Genomic DNA, 20,431 nt, shown 5'->3' with positions numbered 1-20,431 from the left:
CTCCTGCCTCGGCCTCCCGAGAAGCTGGGACTACAGGCGCCCGCCACCACGCCCGGCTAATTTTTTGCATTTTTTAGTAGGGACGGGGTTTCACAGTGTTAGCCAGGATGGTCTTGATCTCCTGACCTCGTGATCCACCTGCCTCGGCCTCCCAAAGTGCTGAGATTGCAGGTGTGAGCCACCGCGCCCGGCCTGTTTTTTTAATAAGCTGTCTAGAGTTGGAATTTTTTTCCCCATAGAAATAACCAGTTATATTCTCAACTCATAAGTGGGAGCTGAGCTATGAGGATGCAAAGGTGTAAGAATGATACAACGGACTTTGGGGACTCAGGGGAAAGGGTGGGAGGGGAGTGAGGGATAAAAGACTACACAATGGGTACAGTGTACACTGCTCCCGTAATGGGTGCACCAAAATCACAGAAATCACCACTAAACCAAACACCACCTGTTCCCCATAAACCTATTAAACAAACAAAAAAAAAAAAAACAAAGAAAGAAAGAATGAAAGAAAGATATCCCAGAAACTTTTTTTTTTTTTTTTTGAGACAGGGTCTCACTCCGTCACCCAGGCCGGAGTGCAATGGTGCAATCTTGGCTCACGGCAGCCTTGACCTCTTGGGCTCAAGCAATCCTCCATCTCAGCCTCCTGAGTAGCTGGAACCACAGGCGTGTGCCACCATGCCCGACTAATTTTTGTATTTTTGGCAGAGAAAGGGTTTCGTCATGTCGCCCAGGCTGGTCTCAAACTCAGCAGCTCACATAATTTACCCACCTTGGCTTTCCAAATTGCTGGAATTACAGGCCTGAGCCAGTATGCCTGGCCCCAAGAACTTTTGATCAATTATCTTTTTAAAAATGGCTTTGTTCCCATGTGAGCGGATCTTCTCCTACACTCTACCCTTTGTTCCATCCGATCCATTGTCAACACCTGCATCATCAATGCATTCTAAATTCACAGAGTTGATGAAACAAGATCTCCACTTTATTCGTCAAAATTGTCTTGGCTACTCCAGGCCCTATGTTCTTTCAGAAGAATTTCAGGATTGTTCTATCATAACCCTAGATTAATTTGAGAACTGATAATTTGTTCTTCTATTAGTCTTTCAATATGTTATTCAACTTTCCCATATGTCTTGTACATCTTTTGATTTATTCCCAGTTACTATAACTCATGCCTATAAAATTTTCTAAATGATTATTATGAATAATGGAACACTTACAATAAAATGTTCTCATATCTAAGGATCTTGCTTAACCCTTTGATTAGCAGTTTATCTGTTGAGTCTTTAAAACTTTTTGTAGACAATAACCACATAGCCTACAAATAAGCAATATTTTTGTTTTCTAATTCTTTTTTTTGAGACGAGTTTCGCTCTTGTTGCCCAGGCTGGAGTGCAATGGCATGGTCTGGGCTCACTGCAACCTCCACCTCCCGGGTTCAAGCAATTCTCCTGCCTCAGCCTCCCGAGTAGCTGGGATTACCGGTGTGCACCACCACATCTGGCTAATTTTTTGTATTTTTAGTAGAAACGGGGTTTTAGCATGTTAGCCAGGCTGGTCTTGAACTCCTGACTTCAGGTGATCTGCCCGCCTCGGCCTCCCAAAGTGTTGGGATTACAGGCATGAGCCACTGCACCCAGCCATTGTTTCTAATGCTTATAACTTATTTTTATCTCTTAATGCATCAGCTGGGGCAGTCAGTACAACATGAACAGTGATAAAGGAGATATTTTTCTTGTTCCTGACTTAAATGGGAATGTTTCTAAAATTCCAACCACTACCTCAGTGTAAGACAAAAGGTAGGTACCACTACAAAATAAATCTGGTGACGTATTTACCCTCTAAATTAAGTGTTCAAGTACTCATTAGCTCATTAAGAAATGGCTAGGCCAGAAAATGATCAGGTTAGTTCTCAAGTCCTTATCCCAGCACAATGAAACTTAAAGTAGTATTTCCATAGCACAATAGCCATTTAAGTTTCTGCTGCAACGAGGGTCTATAAAACAAAAGCAATGTAATATAGTGAACAGAGCCATGACTAGTGTTAGACCTTGTTCTTCTAATCTTGGCTTCACTGGTAAGCAAGACATGCTATTTTGGTTTGTAGTTCGCTACTGTGCATCTATATATCCCCGCTGAATTGTTTTTGACTCTATTAACTGTGCCCAATATTAACATATAAATGATAGAGTCTGTCACACTCCACTCTAGAAATGTTATTTTTAACACCAGATTTCAGGGTGTCTGCAAAGTCTTAAAGGCATAACCACAATGTGGGGGTCCACGCTTGCATGTATTGAGATGCATTTTCCCAAATTCATCTGATTCTAAAAGGATATTCATTATATTCTCAACAATCTGAGAAATCACACAACCCTCAGCAAATTTATCCAAAAATTTGGCCACAATACACATAAACTATCTGAAGACCATTGACTTACTAGTCTGTGCAACAATATTGGTATGTTTTCTTAACATAGCAGCTGCAGTCTCAGAGAGGGTGACGATCACTTCAAGGGCAAGCTGGCGTTGCATATTGTTGAGGCTAGTGTCTCCACACAACTACAAAGAAGACATATTTGTATACATTTAATAATTTAGATTAGTCCCTGAAAATAACAAACAGAACGTTTACTAACGTACTTAATTTACCTTTAGACTTAGCTGTAGAGTTGCTTCCAAGTGAGGACGCAAATACTTTGGAACAGTATCTGCAATCTCAACGAGGGATTTTAGGACAGAATCATCATTCTGGTAGCACGAGTCATTTACCGCCTAGAAAAGATGAAACAGAAAGTCGGTGCTGAAGATTCACTTTATAATGCCTCATTAGCCAAAAGATTCCTAAGATGCTGACAATAGAGAAATATTACTAAACTATTTTTCACTAAATAATTTAGCAATCTATATTATGCAAATGTTCTACCTGCAGGCACATGTATACCTTCCTTCTGATGGATGTTAACTAGAAACATTCAAAACAGATTTACATCTAAGTCAAAATGAAAATCAGTGAAACTATAATAACCATTACAATACTTAAGGCTACCAAGGAATTACTTTTTTTTATAACCAGGAGTCCCTTTCCTTTGTCCTTTTATTTTTTCAGTGATAAGGTCTCGCTCTGTCGCCCAGGCTGGAGTGTGGTGGCACAATCATAGCTCACAGTACCCTCCAACTCTTGTGCCTCAGACTCCTGAGTAGCCAGGACAACATGTGTGGCCACCACACCTGGCTCTTCTGTCCTTTCTTATATCCATGCCCTAGTTTTTCTCATACGCATAGTAAGTACTAGAACCTGTAATACATTTAAAGTGTCCAATATTACCCATTTTATTTATCTTGGATGTTAAGTCTGGTCACTGTGGTATTAAAGTATGCATTTTGTGTTTATCATTATCTATTTCAGAATAACAACTCTTAAAAGTTGTGGTAAACATTTTAACTTACTCTAAATCCAGAGGAAGAAAACCGGGATTAGATTTCAACAGTAACTAGAGATTTCAGATAATAAACTACTAAAGCAATAGTATGTTACAATTTATGTTCTGTCACGAAACTATCTTTTCATTGTGATAGCAGGGGGAGAGAAGTTTCACTAAATCCTTTAAATAACTTATCATGTGGAAACCTTCAATTTTAGCTCCTCTAAATCCTCTCTAACTCAGTGGTTCTCAAGAGGAATGGTTTTCACCCAGGAGATATTTCTTGATGGTCACACGATTGAGGATGGGCAAAGGCCATGGATACTAAATGTCCTGCACCTGTGACACAAGCACAAGGGACTTACATGATCTTCTCATTATGCATTTCACATTATTACAAATCCCAGACATTTATAAAAAGGAGAAAACTCTTTATAATGATCTGAACCTAGAAACTAACTCACAAATTATTTTTTGCCTGGTTTTAACAACTGTTATCCCCCCCTCCAATGTAACTACTGTATCAATCAAGAATGGATACATACAGGTGGAACATCCCAAATCCAAAATGCTCTGAAATCCTCAACTTTTTGAACACAGACACGTCACTCAAAGGAAATGCGCATTTGAGTATTTCGGATTTCTGACTTGAGATGCTCAACTGGTAAGTATAACACAAATACAGTGTTTCAAAATTTGAAAAGATTTTGAGATCCGAAACACTTCTACTCCCAAGCATTCTGAATAAGAGACACTCAACCTCTACTTTGCTTTGTTCAGAACCTTACTATTTTAGGAAATCTTATCACCAATTCTAATGGGAACTGTGGTGTTTGACTTGCCAATATCTTTGCTATTAGTCCAGTTTTAGCTATTGCATTTGTACAGATCACTTGGAAGCCACCTAGTCTATTATGTCTTCCAGTGTAGTCTTGTCTGACCATTTACATAAGGAGAAGCAAGCCATTTTATTATACGTTTCTTTGCATTTCTTTTTTGTATTAAGGCCATATATTAATATTCTAAAAAATTATGCATATATATTACATTACTTATGCATTTCATTTTTAGAAGAGTACATGAAAAATTACTAAAAGATTGCCATAAAAAAGGAGTTTGGAGTCTGACAAGGTTGGGAACCACTAACTTGTCCAATCTTTTAAATTTTAATTAATATAAAATTTTTTTCCCCAGGAGCATAGATTCAAGTTGCCCTGAATATATGCTCTATCTTGTCTCATCTTATTTTGCTTTCTGATTAAAGCAGAAAGTATTCTTAAAAATTAACATCCTTAACGATAATGTGAATTAACCATAAACTTACATTATAATACAAACTATTACACACCCTGTAATTAAGAGTAGTTTCTCCTTATGTAAAATGGGCATTAAATCTCACAGGTTATTTGGTTGATTTAATGGAAATAATCTACATGACCATAAATTCAACAATAAGCATATAATTGCTTACAACATTTACATTACAGAAAAATTTTATAACTATAAATATTGTAAGAGACTAAAAATGTCTTTCAAAGGCAGTAAACATAAGCTTAATGGAGACTGAGATTTGCATGTTTTGTTCACTGCTGTATGCCTAGCGCCAGAACATAATAGGCAATATGAATTTATTGCATAAATGATTGAATGCATTAAAGAACCAAATAAGATATAATTATGATTTATTCTATATTGCTTTCATACCTGTAGGAATCCCGGTAGCAAGTCTGCAAAATGTTTGAACAGAGCAACATTATGCTCATTTGCAAGTATAAATGCAGCTGTAGCTCTAGCAGATAACGTCCTGATCTAAAATCAAGAGGAAAAAATGTCAAACATGAGAAATTTTTGATAAACGCAAATTCAAGTTTTCTTACTCAAGATCAAATTATTCTTTATCAGTAAAACTGGTGTTTGTATTTTAAAGTATAAAAGTGAAAACAACCTCCTAATATACTAATTTCTTTCGCAAATTAGATTAAAATAGATGGTTATATTAATAGGATTGAAATTATTTACCGACGGGTGTTCCTGATCTTGCATACACTGAACTAACATTCGTTTGATGACATCTAAATAGTGTTGTTGCTGGTTCCCAAAAATTCCAGGAAAGTTCCTAAAAGATAATCCAAACATTCTTTAAAAACTACATTATATTAATATCTTGGTAAAGTATGAGCTAGAATCTCTAATGAACTGTTTGTTTACCTGACTCAGTACGCATTAATCCATAGGTTGAACATCATCTACCCATTCTCTAAGCAATCCTGTTTTTGGGTTAAGTGAATGAAAACATACTGGAGAAGTCTGGGCTGGGAGTAGAGGCTACTCAGCAGCCCATTCCCAGCTACATGCTTTTATCCTTATTACTCTGTCTCAGTCGAAAGCTGACCTGGAGTGCAGGATGGGACAAGAGCAACCACAGGTTTTCAGATGAAAACTACAAGAACTATGCTCTCCGGCCATCTGCATTCTCTAATCTGAATTACTGATATAAACAAAGATATATATGACAACTAAAGTACAAAATGATACAAAGCCTAAAATGTGTATGATCTTGAGCACATTTTAGGTGTAGTAAAAAAATATAGCACAGTGGGGCAAAGAATAATCACTTAATTCTAAACTTAGACTATTTGGTTATAAATATACAGGTTTCTTAACATATTATAAAATTGGGTCACACAAGACCCAGAAAACATAATGGGGATTCACCTGCATTCTCCTTCTCCTCTTCAAGACACCATTATTAATGTGGCTTTTGAAAAGCTACATCCAGTATTGTGTTAATCTCCAAATAAAGGAGAGGAAACTGTTCAATAAAACTTTCAGAATCATAAAAGACAAAGAGAAAGCAAGCAAGCTGTAGAGAACCTTTGTGTACAAAAAAGATCATAATGTGAAATAAAAGGCCCTTTTAAAAAAAATTGCTTCCAATACAAATACAAACAAAACTTATGTAAAGGCATTATTATCATTTTAAGTATAAGGTTAAATTAGGCTAAAATAATCAGTTAAAAGGTGTTTAGGGCATTCATTAAATCAAATGTCTCAAAAAACTAGATTAATGTATATACCAGAAAATGTGAAGGGCAGCTTCCCGCAGTCCCACATTTTGAGAGCTGACTGAATCAAAAAGGAACTTCAAACCTTCGGGCCACTGGTTATTGCCATCCTCATCTGAAAGTAAAGAAATCCAGACATAAAGTTGTGTAAGTCAGAACTTCAATATACTAGGAGTAAATCCTTTCATTTCATAAGCCTCATTCAAACCTGGAGTAGTGAAAAATGTCACTTTTGCTATTTTTAAAAACTCCACAAAATTCTGTCCTTTAGCCATAAAAATGGCATCACAATCATGTTAAAAAAAAAAAAAGACCAAACAAACCAACAAACCAAACAACTCTGTATTTGGGTTAGATAATCAGATATTAACAGAGGTTCTTCTTTTTTTTAGATGGAGTTTCACTTTTTTACCCAGGCTGGAGTGCAATGGCGCGATCTCGGTTGACTGCAACCTCTGCCTCCAGGGTTCAAGCAATTCTCCTGCCTCAGCCTCCCGAGTAGCTGGGATTACAGGCGCCTGCCACCATGCCTGACTAATTTTTGTATTTTTAGTAGAGACGAGGTTTGGCCATGATGGCCAGGCTGGTCTCAAACTCCTGACCTTGGGTGATCCACTTGCCTTGGCCTTCCAAAGTACTAGGATTACAGGCGTGAGCCACCGCACCTGGCTGGCAGAGGTTATTTCTAAGGAGTGGAATTTGAAGAGAAGGCAGCACTTTTAACTGTACAAATATCTGATTGACTGACTCCTTTATATATACCATTGCTATTAAAGAGTTGAAAAAGTAGGCAAAGCTAGTATTTGGTGGCAAGGTCTTGAAACCAAAGTAACAACTACTTTGGAACTTGAGAAGACATCAGGGTTAGAATCTCAGGACCCATACAGGGTGCTCACACTTTGCAGTTTGGTTCAAATAGTGCCAGAGGATGTTATTAATATGTTTACTATTTAACAAGATTAAGAGATTTTAAATAATACTTTATAATAAAAATGAGTGACCACAAAAATCTACTGTGCCACTTATAAGACTCTGGTTATATTGTCACAAAGACCTTAAGAGTTATACAACTTACAGATGAATTACAGATGTTTTCTTTTTAAACGTCCCCCGATATTTGAACTTTTGTGAAATGACAATTGTGCTGCTAAGCTGACATTAAATGTTTCTTCAACCTAAAGATGATGCTTTGAGGGGAAATAAAATAGCAGCTTAAAAAAAAAAAATCTATGAGAGCACTTTGAATACTTTGGAAAGGTTTGCATTGTTAAGTGTTTCTGAATGAGAAATGATGTCACCTATAACAATTCCTATCTGCATACTTAAAACTGGAAAGTAGAATTTTCTAAACAATTTAAAAATATTCAAAATTAGGGCTGGGCGCTGTGGCTCATGCCTCTAATCTCAGCACTTTGGGAGGCCAAGGTGGGCAGACCATTTGAGGTCAGGCATTTGAGACCAGGCTGGCAAACAGGGTGAAACCCAGTTGGCTCCATCTCTACTAAAAAAATACAAAAATTAGCTGGGCGTGTGGGAGGCTGAGGCAGGAGAATCACCTAAACTTGGGAGGTGGAGGCTGCGGTAAGCCATGATCACACCACTGTACTCAAGCCTGGGCAACAGAACAAAACTGTCTAAAAAAATTAATTTGAACTCATCTAAAATATAAAGAATTGACACATTCCCCATTAGTTTCTAAGAAATGGTTGACATAAGAAAGGATACAATCTGCTAGCTGAATTGAACAAGGACTTACTGTATTACTGGTTGATGAGATTTTAAAATTAGTGTCATAATGTAGTAAGCTCAATCAATAGTAATCTCCCATGTAACCTTGATCTTCATTTCAACTATTAAAAATGCCATCTAAACAAGCTGCGCTTACAACCACACTTATAAATCCCTGTCTAAAAAAAAAAAAAAAGTGGTGGCTACACTCTCTTCTACGAGCAGGAAGTATGAAGATGAGTGGGACAAAACCCAAGACACCATGGAAGCTGTCATGGCCCTGGAGAAGAACTTGTACCAGGAACCAGGCCCTGTTGGATCTTCATGCCCTGGGTTCTGCCTGCACAGATCCCCATCTCTGTGACTTCTTGGAGAGCCACTTCCTAGATGAGGAAGTGAAACTCATTAAGATGGGTGACCACGTGACCAACCTCCGCAGGCTAGTTGGCTCCTATGTTGAGCTGGGCAAGTGTCTCTTCAAAAGGCTCATCATCAAACAACACTAAAAGCCCAGTGACCTCTGAGGGTCCCCCTCAATGTATCAGAGCTTCTGCCTGACCCTCTCCCTCCAGCCATTAGGTAGCTTTTTAACCAAGCTGGAGCCCTCTCCCAGGCACTAGACCAAATGGAAATAAAGCTTTTTGCAGCAAGATAAAAAAGTAGCATGTTCAATTACATTACTATTATTTTTAGTTGACTAAAAAGGATTTTTACCTTTAGTAAAATGCATTTTTTTATGATGTTTGCCTTTTACCTCACTTAAAAAAATATTTTTTGGGCATTAAAAATGTACATAGTAGGCCAGGCGCAGTGGCTCATGCCTGTAATCCCATCACTTTGGGAGGCCGAGATGGGCAGATCACCTGAGGCCAGGAGTTCCAGACCAGCCTGACCAACATGGAGAAACCCTAAAAATACAAAAAAAATTAGCTGGGTGTGGTGGCGCATGCCTGTAATTCCAGATACTTGGTAGGCTGAGGCAGGAAAATCACTTGAACCTGGGAGGCGGAGGTTGCGGTGAGCCAAGATTGCACCACTGCACTCCAGCCTAGGCAATAAGAGCGAAACTCCGTCTCAAAAAAAAAAAATATATATATACATAGTATAGCTACGTAACAGTATATGTATATATTTGTCACCACACATATACAACAGCAAAAGCACTGGAGTCTCTGATTTTTAGTTCAACTGGCAAGTTTAATGTACAAAGTAGGTCATACCATTAATTAGCCTGTGCTTCTAAAACATTATAGATTTAGGAGAAAATGTAACTGCCAATTTTCAAGCAAATTACAAAATTATTTTTCCACATGGATTTTTTTTTTCCTTTTTTTGAGACATAGTCTTGCTTTGTTGCCCAGGCTGGAGTGCAGTAGCGTGATCACCGCTTACTGTAGTCTCCAGCTTCTGGGGCTCAGGTGATTCTCCCATTTCAGCCTCCCAAGTAACTGGGACTACAGGTGCACACCATCACGCCCACTAATTTTTTGTAGAAACGGGGTTTTGCCATGTTGCCCAGGTTCGTCCTGAACTGCTAGACTCAAGCGATGTGCCCACCTCGGCCTCCTAAAGTGCTGAGATTACAGGTGTGAGCCACTGTGCCTAGCCTCACATGGGTATTTTGAATACCAATAGGTGAGTCCTATGACTGGATTTCACAAACATCTATCTGTAATTTCTGGCTCTAAATGCAAAATCCATAAGCACATTCATTTTAAACAGAATAAATGGTACTCAGGTACTTATGAATCTTACTCTAAAAGATTCCATTAAAAAAAAAAAAAAGGAAGGATATACCCATGTTCTTGGTAACATGAGTGCACCTGCATACACACCTATTAAATTCCTGGCCAGTTCTGCCGCAATATCACAAACTTTTTTCCTCATGCTAGATTGTGTTTCCATCTGAATAATCATGAGTAGCTCACTCTTGATGGCAGTCTGAACATCAGAGGGAAGTGCTGGATAGACTTCATCAAATGCAGAGGACAAGAGACGTCTTAGGAGAACGGCGGCCATTTGTCTAGCCTATAAACAGATAACATTGTTAATAACTAGATTCACTCTGCCATTGATGTATTTCACTGTTGTATTTTTATATTTCAAAAGCGCCTAATTTTCTAAAGAAGTAAATATATAACTCTTTCTAATTACATTAGTCTATTATACAGACTTATTTTGTTAGTGCCACAAAATAAGCCATTTGTACTTAAGGTGAGGAGAACTTCTAATCACATTACAATTCAATTAGGAACACATATTTTAGCAATGATAAACCTGTCTTTAATCCCTGTTTTTAACACATTATTTGGGAGAAAAACAAATCTTAAATTGTAAACCCTATAATGAATGCTCTTTTCCTACCTCTCTGTCTGGTCTCATTCTAGAATATCAAGCGCCTTTCCCACCCAACCTTAGGCTCCCAGCCTGACCTAACTTGTTACATAACCGCCCTTTCATTAGCATCTTAGATAAAATGCTTCTTTCATGCAAACAAACATTACGAGTTCCCGATACCTAAAAAGTGCTAATCCATCTCAACATGTGTATTCTTGGATTTTCATTTTCAAATCTGTGTAATTAAGTTTGGCATTTTCTGTATAACATTTCTTGAGATTATCAAAAGAAAAGCTAAGACAAATGCCATTCTAAAATTTTATCAAATCAAGCCAATAAGCTATTGGGAATATTGAACCTAATCTTTCCTGCTCTCGATTTCCCCAAGCTGATGTTACTCATTATCACTATAATTACTTTGGGAATTTGACCAAAAAAAATGTTAAGCTATACAAATAAAATTGGCTATTTTTTTCCTCCATTACTTTTCACCGAGAAATCTTTTTACTGAAACATTTATGGTAGGTAGAAACCTTTACAAATATTTAACATGTTCTAGAAAGAATTCAAAATGGTTACAATTCTTATAAAAGTGGTTAAAACTCATGTGCAATTCTTCTCACACATATACCAAAAACTATAAAGCCACAATCAAGATGCTGTCACTAATTCACAACAATCATCTAATTCTTAAATCTAGTTAAGATTTAAATAAGGCTTAATACAAGTTATTAAAAAAATTCAGTATTCTTGGCTTTAAAATTTGTTTACTAACTTGCACTAATCTTCAAGAATTAAAACAGTCATCTGTTTTTAGTGATAGAAGTTACCCTAGGCCGGGCGCGGTGGCTCACGCCTGTAATCCCAGCACTTTGGGAGGCCGAGGCGGGCGGATCACGAGGTCAGGAGATCGAGACCATCCCGGCTAAAACGGTGAAACCCCGTCTCTACTAAAAATACAAAAAATTAGCCGGGCGTAGTGGCGGGCGCCTGTAGTCCCAGCTACTTGGGAGGCTGAGGCAGGAGAATGGCGTGAACCCGGGAGGCGGAGCTTGCAGTGAGCCGAGATCCCGCCACTGCACTCCAGCCTGGGCGACAGAGCGAGACTCCGTCTCAAAAAAAAAAAAAAAAAAAAAAAAAAAAAAAGAAGTTACCCTATATAGGGTTCTTCATATTTGACATCCATTTTGAGTTACAGAAAAGAACAGGTTACAAAAGCAAAGAAGTACCTCTTGTCATCTAGAAAAAAAAAAATTGGGATACTTTTATATGGCTTTTAAAGTGGTTGAGAGAACATGAAGTTGCTAGTCTAAACTGACTGACTGGAAGAAGTCAGGTGAAACATAATGTAAAAGTTTAGTGTGACTTATTTCCATCAAGGATAAGCATTTTATATACAGTTTGCTAGCAAAAAAAGTCTTACACTACAAACTCTAAATGTAATGTTTTGTAGGTAGAATAGTTTTCTAGACTTGGGTATTTTTATACCTTTTCCAAAGTAAACAGATATTCAATGGCATTCAATATTTATGAGGATATTAACTTATAATCGGGGGGACGGTGGGGGGGGGGGGTGGAATTAGCTACAAAATGCCTCAATCAGTAGTAGGAAACTATAAAATCCTAGGAAATAGCCTTGTTTTTACCATAGGGAAAAGTAATTCTTAAAATTAAAACAAATTTGAATTTGGTATAGGAACTAGGTAATTAGCTAAAAACCATGATTCTAATAAAATATTCTAGAAAATGTCTCTGTTCCTAAGTATATCTTTAGTACATACACTTCATCCAGAGATGGTTATAAGCATAAATTTTTAAAGATGGGAAAAAAATATTTTTTCAAAACATTGATAACACATCAAAACACTGAACTAATTTACTTCTTTAGAATAAATTGTTTCAAGGAAAGAAAACTTTTAGCTGCAAAAAGCACTTAAATTAGGCTGGGCGTGGCGGCTCATGCCTGTAATCCCAGCACTTTCGGAGGCTGAAGGGGGTGGATCACTTGAGGTCAGGAGTTCGAGACCAGCCTGGCCAACATGGCAAAACCCCATCTCTACTAAAAATACAAAAATTAGCCAGGTGTGGTGGCGCACGCCTGTAATCCCAGTTACTCGGGAAGCTGAGGCAGGAGAACTGCTTGAACCCAGGAGGCAGAGGTTGCAGTGGGCCGAGATGGTGCCAGTGCACTCAAGCCTGGGCAGAGTGAAACTCCATCTCAAAATCAATCAATCAAATCAAATCACTTTAATTTAATAATTCTTATGCAATTACTTATAAAACCATTAATCTTCATCTACCCTGGACACATTATCTTATGCGGAAAAAAGGCAACTCTCATTCTTAATACAAAGTACTTCAAAAAATTACATTATAACTCCTAAGTAGCTTTTAGCAAATAATAAGTACAAAGTTCTAGTAAAGTCTATGTGGTTAATCACAATTCTCATTTCTCTAATTTCTACTATGATCATCATCTAATAACTTATTTTCTAAGAATGTAATAGTCACAAATATTAAGGTAGTACCTCTTCAGCAGCTGTTGTATTTCTGATGGCTTGTAAGAGGAATGTGATCTTTGACTGGCCTGGGATATTCTCATAGGTTTCCTGCATGGAAAAAAAAAAATGGTTAGGAAAGAATGTTAGGAAACTTCATGAGTAAACCAGTGAAAGAAATAAACAGTGGGAAGGATGCATGAGAAATTATTTAATCTAGGTCTGGTGTTAACACCTTCTGTGACATGAAATACACTTCAGATATGTTAGGGAAGAGATGTCCAAAGGGTTACTTATCAAGTTCCTTTCTACATATATCTCTTAAACAAATGTTTCTAATGTGTGTGCATGTTTTCCCAACTTATGCTCCCTGGTTAACAAAACTCAAGGCCTAAGAGGGCCAAAAAATTGCCAAATGTGACTTAAGCCATTGTGCTGCAAACTTTAGGGCTCACTTAAAATCACCTTACATCATGAGAAACTGTTTCGTTAACATTTTTAGACTGGATGATGTACAACTGGTTCAAATTACCACTGCTTAGAACCACCAGACACACACCTGGAAGTAAGTCAGAGAAACAAAGTATTCAAATCCTTTATGCTACATTTTCTTCCAAGCAAGGATCATACTAAAACCTTACTACATAGATAAATGAATGTGGTCAGGATAAATTCGGCCAGGAGGCTTTATCGTCTTTTGTAGATCTATTAGCAAGAGGTTTGTGACTCAGGACACTCTATCCTCTGCTAATAATGTAAAATCACAACAAATTGGTTAACAATAAAAAGTTGACACCAATTAAAAGACAGATGATCAGAACAGATTAAAAAACAAGAACCAACTATATGCTGTCCAGAGAAGTGCAGATTCATATGCAAGAATTCTGATGGTATTTGTTCACTGTGGAAAAGAAATCAATTTAAGTACACTTGGAATTGCTTACTCTAAGAAGCCTCTTAGTAAATAGATAATCCATTCTTATCTAGCAATTTAGAGTTGAGTCTAATGTGGGTAACATTGATTTCTTTAGAGCTTACCTGCTCTCATTGCTACCATACCTCTATACGTGGCTTCTCTGGAACAAAGTGACAAGGGAGGAAAAACAAGGCTATTTTGAATCCACATCTAGCTTAAACCTTTTACTAAGTGCCCCATGGCATCCATGAGATATTAACAGATAAGGAAATAAAGGCTTATAAGTTAATGACTTGCCTAAGATCATAGACAATGAATAGCAGACAGAACTCTGGTCCTCTAAGGCCAACCATATTCAAAATCTCTCTGGTACTGAAAGCTCTGTTTCACTTCATTAAACAACCAGTTCTATTTATGCAGTGCTACACAGGTTTCAAACTTTTCAAACATATCTGTCTGGGGAAGAACAGATTTTGGGGGAAAGGAGAATTCAAGATCTTCTGATAACCTCAAGTTCCCATTCTAGTAAAAAGCACATAGGATCTTAACAATGCTGAAAACTGTGCCAAAAAGTATTCACAGCCGAGGAGAGAAGATGGTTTGAATTTATTTATCCAGAAGAGATAATTTATGTAAAGATATTCACAAGCTGAATGCAAAAATGGTTATGTACCTTTGAGACTTTTCACTTAATATTTACCAAAGCAACTCCTTATACCAGTAGTATGTTTTCATTTAAAAAGTATCTCACTATACAATAAAAAGCACCCAGCTTAGCCACTTAAACACTGGTAATGTGATCAATGTTTAACACTTAAATTTTCAGTGGTCTAAATCAAGTTTTTGCAAAAACTTTTTTTTTTTTTTTTTTGAGATAGAGTCTCACTCTGTCGCCCAGGCTAGAGCGCAGTGGTGCGATCTCGGCTCACTGCAACCTCTGCTGCCCAGGTTCAAGAGATTCTCCTGCCTCAGCCTCCTCAGTAGCTGGGATTACAGGCGCCTGCCACCGCGCCCGGCTAATTTTTTATTTTTAGTAGAGATGGGATTTCACCATCTTGGCCAGGCTGGTCTTGAACTCCCGACCTCGTGATCCACCTGCCTCGGCCTCCCAAAGTGCTGGGATTACAGTCATGAGCCACCGCGCCCAGCCATAAACTTCTCTACTAGGCTATCACTGTCAGAAAACCTAATATAAATCCTGAGGCTCCCTACTCTTGCCCAGGCGGAACTGTTGGTGTGACTATGCTAACTCTAGTAGACTTAACAATTGACCCAACTTAACATTGGGCCAAATATTAAACTCTACTCCATAATGAATTAGAAGCCAATGGTGGGAGAGTTTAGTACGAGTGACAGATGATGTCTGTTGAGAGAGGGTTCTCTCCATGTGATATGTTCCACTGTGGTAATCCAAATATAGTATTACATCAATACCATCACAATGGTCAAGGATAATGGTTAAACAGTCTAAGTTCCACACAGACAGGGATGGTAACTTTTTATCTTTGTATCTAAGTACGTAGCATATTAGTGTATAAGAATTATAAAGACTGTTTCTAATACTATTCCTAGCACTAGTCCAGTTAGGTTCAGTGAATGTTATCAGTTGTGGCAAACAAAATTTCAATTTGATTTGATTCCACCTTATACAATTTACACAATGCAAAGACTTCTCCTCCGCCTCTTCCCTGCCCACGAAGAAGAAATGCTCATATGTACTCATCTCATTCCATAAATATTTATAGTGAGCCTACCTTGTATGAGGAAAAGTAAAAGAGGGGACACATGACTTTTATCTATTAACACCCTGGTTCCTCAACAATCAGGTATATTTTTCAATGTTATCCTCTGTCTATTGAAATCTCAACAATGGGCTGGGTGTGGTGGCTCATGCCTGTAATTCCAACACTTTGGGAGATGGGAGGATCACTTGAGGCCAGGAGTTCAAGACCAGCCTGGGCAACACAGCAAGACCCTGTCTCTACAAAAAACACTCAATGAAATTCTCTATTAGAGTCAATGAGGAACAAATTCTGTATGGAGAACCTTAGTAAGAAAATAAAATCCATGCATATGATTAATAAATACTTAAGCTTATGTCATATAAAAATGTCTAGTGATAAATACCATGAATACTGTACTTTGCACTACTTGTCAACTATTTATTCAATGGTTTATTCACGTTATTGTATTCTGAGACTCAGGGACATTCACATACGTTTCTTCAAATGAGAAACATTTTCTATAAAGTTAAAGAGAAATATCCTTACAGATTTTTAAAAATAGAAATAAACTATAAAGCCTACTAAATGGCATATACGACGAAAAAAGTTTTAACTTTTTAGAGTTTTGACGTCTCTTCAATGATTTCAACCAAATATATAACCATATTTGAATACAAAAGTCACCTTAGTCAACAGTTTGGTATTTATGTGTCGACTAAGTATTTTTATTTTGAATGAGTAAATTACAAAGATATTTACTGAGCCCTGGCCAATTTTTCAGTTCATAGAAAATATTTCTATATTTGCTGTATCAGACTTAATGCTAATTTTATTTCATTTGATCTCTTATAAAACGCTTATTTCATTAGGCAAAAAAGAAAGGGGCATTCTATGGCACCAGAGAGCTTCTCTTAACATTTACTTTTTTGGAGGTCAAATTAGAAAATTCTGTATCACAGTACTTAGTTTACATATTAATACATTCTCAGGATATACAAAGAAAGTAAAAACCTAGTATCTGAATGTTTTCACTAGGAATAAAGAGACTAAGAGAATAACAGTACTTATTTCCAATTGTTCTTTATGAGAAAATGTGCTGAATGCTGATAACTATCCCCAAAGTGATGTAAGTGATAAAAGATTTACAACAGGCACCAATTGGAATTCAAGCTAAACCAGACACTGGTATTTAGTTCAATAGAAGAGAGATTCCCCACTAGGCTTGACAATAGAGACTTAAGCAACTGGAGGGAACAGAGAGAATTAAACTAGCTTACTAATTACAATGCTGTTCTGCTTTGTAACACATGAAAATTTCTATTATTTTCATGCTGGGATTAAAAAGTTATTTTGGCGAAAAATTATCTCAAGAGTTACCAGAAAGCATTAATTTTTTTTTTTAAAGCATCATCATATCCCCAAGGCAAACTGGTGCAATACATGCATATCACTTCTAGGAACAAATGCTACTTTTCAGTATTCTACAAGCAAACCTGGCAAAGTATGCAAAGATAGGTATACATGTACTCCTGCGCATAGTACTATTTTTAAAAGAGCAGGTCACTGGAAACCGCAATATCCATTTCATAGAGGGTTGCTTATATAAATATCTATCCATATGATGTATAATCTATAGCTGACCAAAACCTCACTTATGAGGCAATGTGAAATATAGAGTGAAAAATTCAAGTTGCAAAATAGTGTAAATAGTATTATAAGCCCATTAAGTAAAAAATGAATGTGTATGTTAAATTTTCAGCGAAGATTCACGACACAAGCGGTCACCTTTGGGAAACGGGATAAGAAACGATTCACTGTTTGAATTTTTACCCTGAACATGTATTACATGTATAATAAATAAAAACTTAATGAAGTGAATAGTAGAAAATGCTTTTTCACATAGAACCGAATTTTGGGTGTGTTTACTTCACTTAATATAAAACCCCTAAGTGTAACCAGCATATCCACCATCTATTCAAAACAACGATTACCACCGTCGTTTCAAAGACACCTGGAAAAGTCTTCAGGCCTGAGTTCAGAAGAGGACTTGCAGTCAATTTCATTGGCTATATGTAAAATTAATTTTTGTTATTTAAAAATATCTGGCTGAACATCCTTCACTTAATCTTATGAAACTCTACAATCGCATGGTTGCAAAAACCCCATATATAACCAAGTTTGGCGGTCAGCTAAGAAACTGGAAAGTTTCTCCCTCCCCTGGAAGTATCCCACAAGAATCGTGGTCTCAACGCTGAAAATGTAACATCAGTCTTCTAGTGAACTTGGTAAATGAGCTTACAGATATATTTAAAATACTGTCACTTGAAAGTCTCTCCACATTTTGGAGGCCAGGAACAAGAGGTGGTTTGAAAAAAAGAGATTACGGTTAGATTTAATGAAGTTGAAGACTTAAACATATGGTACTGGCCCAGTTAAACAACGGAAGTCCCACTACATCCCATTTATCCCACGATTCTCTAGAGAGCAAAGAAAATTTGTCTGAAGAGCAGAGTAAGTGTATTATAAGCCCAGAGTAAGGTGGAAACTGCATAGAAAGAAACCCTAAAGGCAACTTCACAAAACTGGAGGTGGGAGGGGGTAGGGAAATCTGGCTTCTGATGTTAGGAACTAGAATGAGAAAGAACTAAATGGAAAAAGGCAGTAGGGACAAGGCAGGGCACATATTTAAAAAGAGAGGGACAGACGGTGTGGGAGATGAGCAGGGGTAGAAGCAGGCGTGACGGGTCAGGTAGCAGCCAGGGTTTGGGAGACCCACAGCGCTAGGCTGGGTGGAGACAGCGGCTGGAAGGGCAGTGGGGGCTCCCACTGGGAGAAAGCGGGAAAGGGGCAAGCGGGGAGCTGGGAAGCGGGGTGGCCAGCGAAGTTGGGGCCCCGGGCCCGCCCGGCACCCCACACCTGGACGGGGGCGCGTCGGGAGCGGCCGCACGTGGGTGCGAGCGGCGGCGGGGAGGTAACTGGTGCCAGGCGCCGCGGCAGCAATGGCCGGAAAAGCCCGGGGGCACGACCGGGAGCCGCGGGCCGCCTCACACGTGGGCTGCGCGGCCGCCGCCCGCCGGGCCCAGCCTGCGCGGCCGCCGCGGACCGGCCGAGGCCCGGTGCGGCTGGCGTCGGTAAAGGGTCGGCGCGCCGGCCAGGGCGCGAAGACTGGGGCGGCGAACTCGGTTACCTCTGCCTGTTTCCGGACCACATTGTCGGGGCTGAGCAGGTTTCCCAGGAGCAGGTAGAACTGTTGCTGCTCCGCCGCGGCCGCCGCCATTGCGCTAGGCGTGAGAGAGAAGGAGGGAGGGGAGACAGGAGCCGTGAGGCGCGCTCGCGGGCCGCGGGAGGGGCGGGGGCGGGCCCAGCGCGGGGACCGGCACCAGCGGCGGCGCGGGGCTTGCGGGGGGCCGCGCGGGAAGGGCGGGGCAAAGGGGAAAGGGGAGGACGGGGCGGGGCCTCGCGGCCTCTCACCCCGCCGCGGCCGCCGGCGCCGGCGCCTCACTGGCCTTGGGCGCAGGGGGGCGGGGCCGAGGACGCCTCCTCGGGGGCCGCGCTGATTGGCCACGCACCCTGCGGTGCCGTCAGTGGCCGCGCATCGGGGGCCGCCGGCTGTACGCCGGTTGGGTAGGCTGGCGGCTTCGCAGCCGGGCCAGGGCTGGGATCGGGGTCGGGGTCGGGGTTGAGGTCGAGGTCGAGGCCTGGGCTGGGGCCAGGGCTGCGTCGCGGGGACAGCGGGAGGAGCCGGCCGGCGGGCCCGGCCGCGGCAAGGGGCCTGAGGCCTGGCCGGGGAGGAGGGGCCAGCTGCTGAGCGCGGGAGATTTCGGCGCCGCGGGCTGGTCGGCCTCCTTCTAGCGACCCCCGGCCCCTCCCCGTGGCCGCTGGAGCAGGCCCCACCCCTTTGGTCCCTCGCTCCCTGGGATCCAGCCCTTCACCCACCCCCAGGAAGGCAGTCCCTTTAGACCCACTTCCTACGTACCTTCTACTCACGGACTTCTCGCTTTCAGACCCTCCGACCTCCCCCAGGGCTGTGGACTCAGGGCGCCCCTTCCTCCCGTCGCGCTCTCCAGTGACTCACGCCTGGGGCTTGCCCGGAAGAGGGGTTACTCAGCCCGGGGCTGTCCCGCCAGGCCGCCCGTCCCCAGCCCGCGGTCGTCTTCGGATGTACACGTAGCAAACATGCCCCCACCCCAGGATCTGTGACTGTTCCCTTGAATCCCTTGTTTAGGGATTCTGTTCTCGCAATGATTGGGGAACGTCAAGAGAGACACCTTTCTTCCTAAAGGAGCCCTGGTTTACAGGGCTGATTATCTCAATCTCAGTCTAGGAACCTAGAGGCGTAATTTCAATTTCAGCATTCTAATGCGCAGATAATACACGCGATGTTCTTTAACTCCTGGGGCTGCCAAAGGCAGAGAGCAGTGTACAAATCAGAGGGTACTTTTGTTGAGACCCTGTTGTATCCAATACATTGGGCTAAGGGTGTCAGTGGAAGCCTTGCTCTGTCGCCTAGGCTGGAGTGCAGTGGCGCGATCTCGGTTTAGTGCAACCTCTGCCTCCCGGGTTCAAACAATTCTCATGCCTCAGCCTCCCAAATACCTGGGATTACAGGCATGTTCCACCATGCCCAGCTAACTTTTTTGTATTTTTAGTAGAAACGGGGTTTCACCAAGTTGGCCCAGTTGGTCTCGAACTCCTGACCTCAGGCGATACCAGCCCCCCCCGCCCTCCCCCCGCCTCG

General features: G+C 40.3%; 1 protein-coding gene and 1 pseudogene across 12 annotated transcripts in view, besides 2 other annotated features; one reads left to right on the top strand and one right to left on the bottom strand.

Moving 5' to 3' along the window:
* Positions 1 to 20,431, bottom strand: part of IPO5 (importin 5) — a 70,622-nt gene that overhangs the window by 28,630 nt on the left and 21,561 nt on the right. For 10 of the 12 annotated variants that reach the window (XM_024449346.2, XM_011521089.3, XM_047430298.1 and 7 more), the window contains 8 exons: positions 18,881 to 18,974; positions 13,084 to 13,164; positions 10,054 to 10,246; positions 6,503 to 6,605; positions 5,445 to 5,541; positions 5,130 to 5,234; positions 2,653 to 2,775; positions 2,442 to 2,562 (listed from right to left, as the gene is read on the bottom strand). In XM_024449346.2, coding sequence (XP_024305114.1) covers positions 2,442 to 2,562; positions 2,653 to 2,775; positions 5,130 to 5,234; positions 5,445 to 5,541; positions 6,503 to 6,605; positions 10,054 to 10,246; positions 13,084 to 13,164; positions 18,881 to 18,974 — 917 coding nt within the window. Of the gene's footprint in view, positions 1 to 2,441; positions 2,563 to 2,652; positions 2,776 to 5,129; positions 5,235 to 5,444; positions 5,542 to 6,502; positions 6,606 to 10,053; positions 10,247 to 13,083; positions 13,165 to 18,880; positions 18,993 to 19,669; positions 19,777 to 20,431 lie in introns of those variants that run through there. The other 2 variants (XM_047430299.1, XM_047430300.1) reach the window with 2 other exon arrangements.
* On the top strand, positions 8,442 to 8,718 carry FTLP8 (ferritin light chain pseudogene 8; annotated as a pseudogene).
* Positions 18,470 to 18,819: a silencer, noted in NCBI's record as "silent region_5454". NCBI's record gives its function as "represses an Ori minimal core promoter by ATAC-STARR-seq in GM12878 lymphoblastoid cells {active_cell/tissue: GM12878}" and the evidence as "EXISTENCE:reporter gene assay evidence [ECO:0000049][PMID:35858748]".
* Positions 19,000 to 19,729: a silencer, noted in NCBI's record as "silent region_5453". NCBI's record gives its function as "represses an Ori minimal core promoter by ATAC-STARR-seq in GM12878 lymphoblastoid cells {active_cell/tissue: GM12878}" and the evidence as "EXISTENCE:reporter gene assay evidence [ECO:0000049][PMID:35858748]".

Source organism: Homo sapiens, chromosome 13 (genome assembly GCF_000001405.40).
Source record: "Homo sapiens chromosome 13, GRCh38.p14 Primary Assembly".
NCBI lineage: Eukaryota > Metazoa > Chordata > Mammalia > Primates > Hominidae > Homo > Homo sapiens.
Note: the sequence above shows the minus strand (reverse complement) of the source record. Positions and strands in the feature narration are given on the sequence as shown.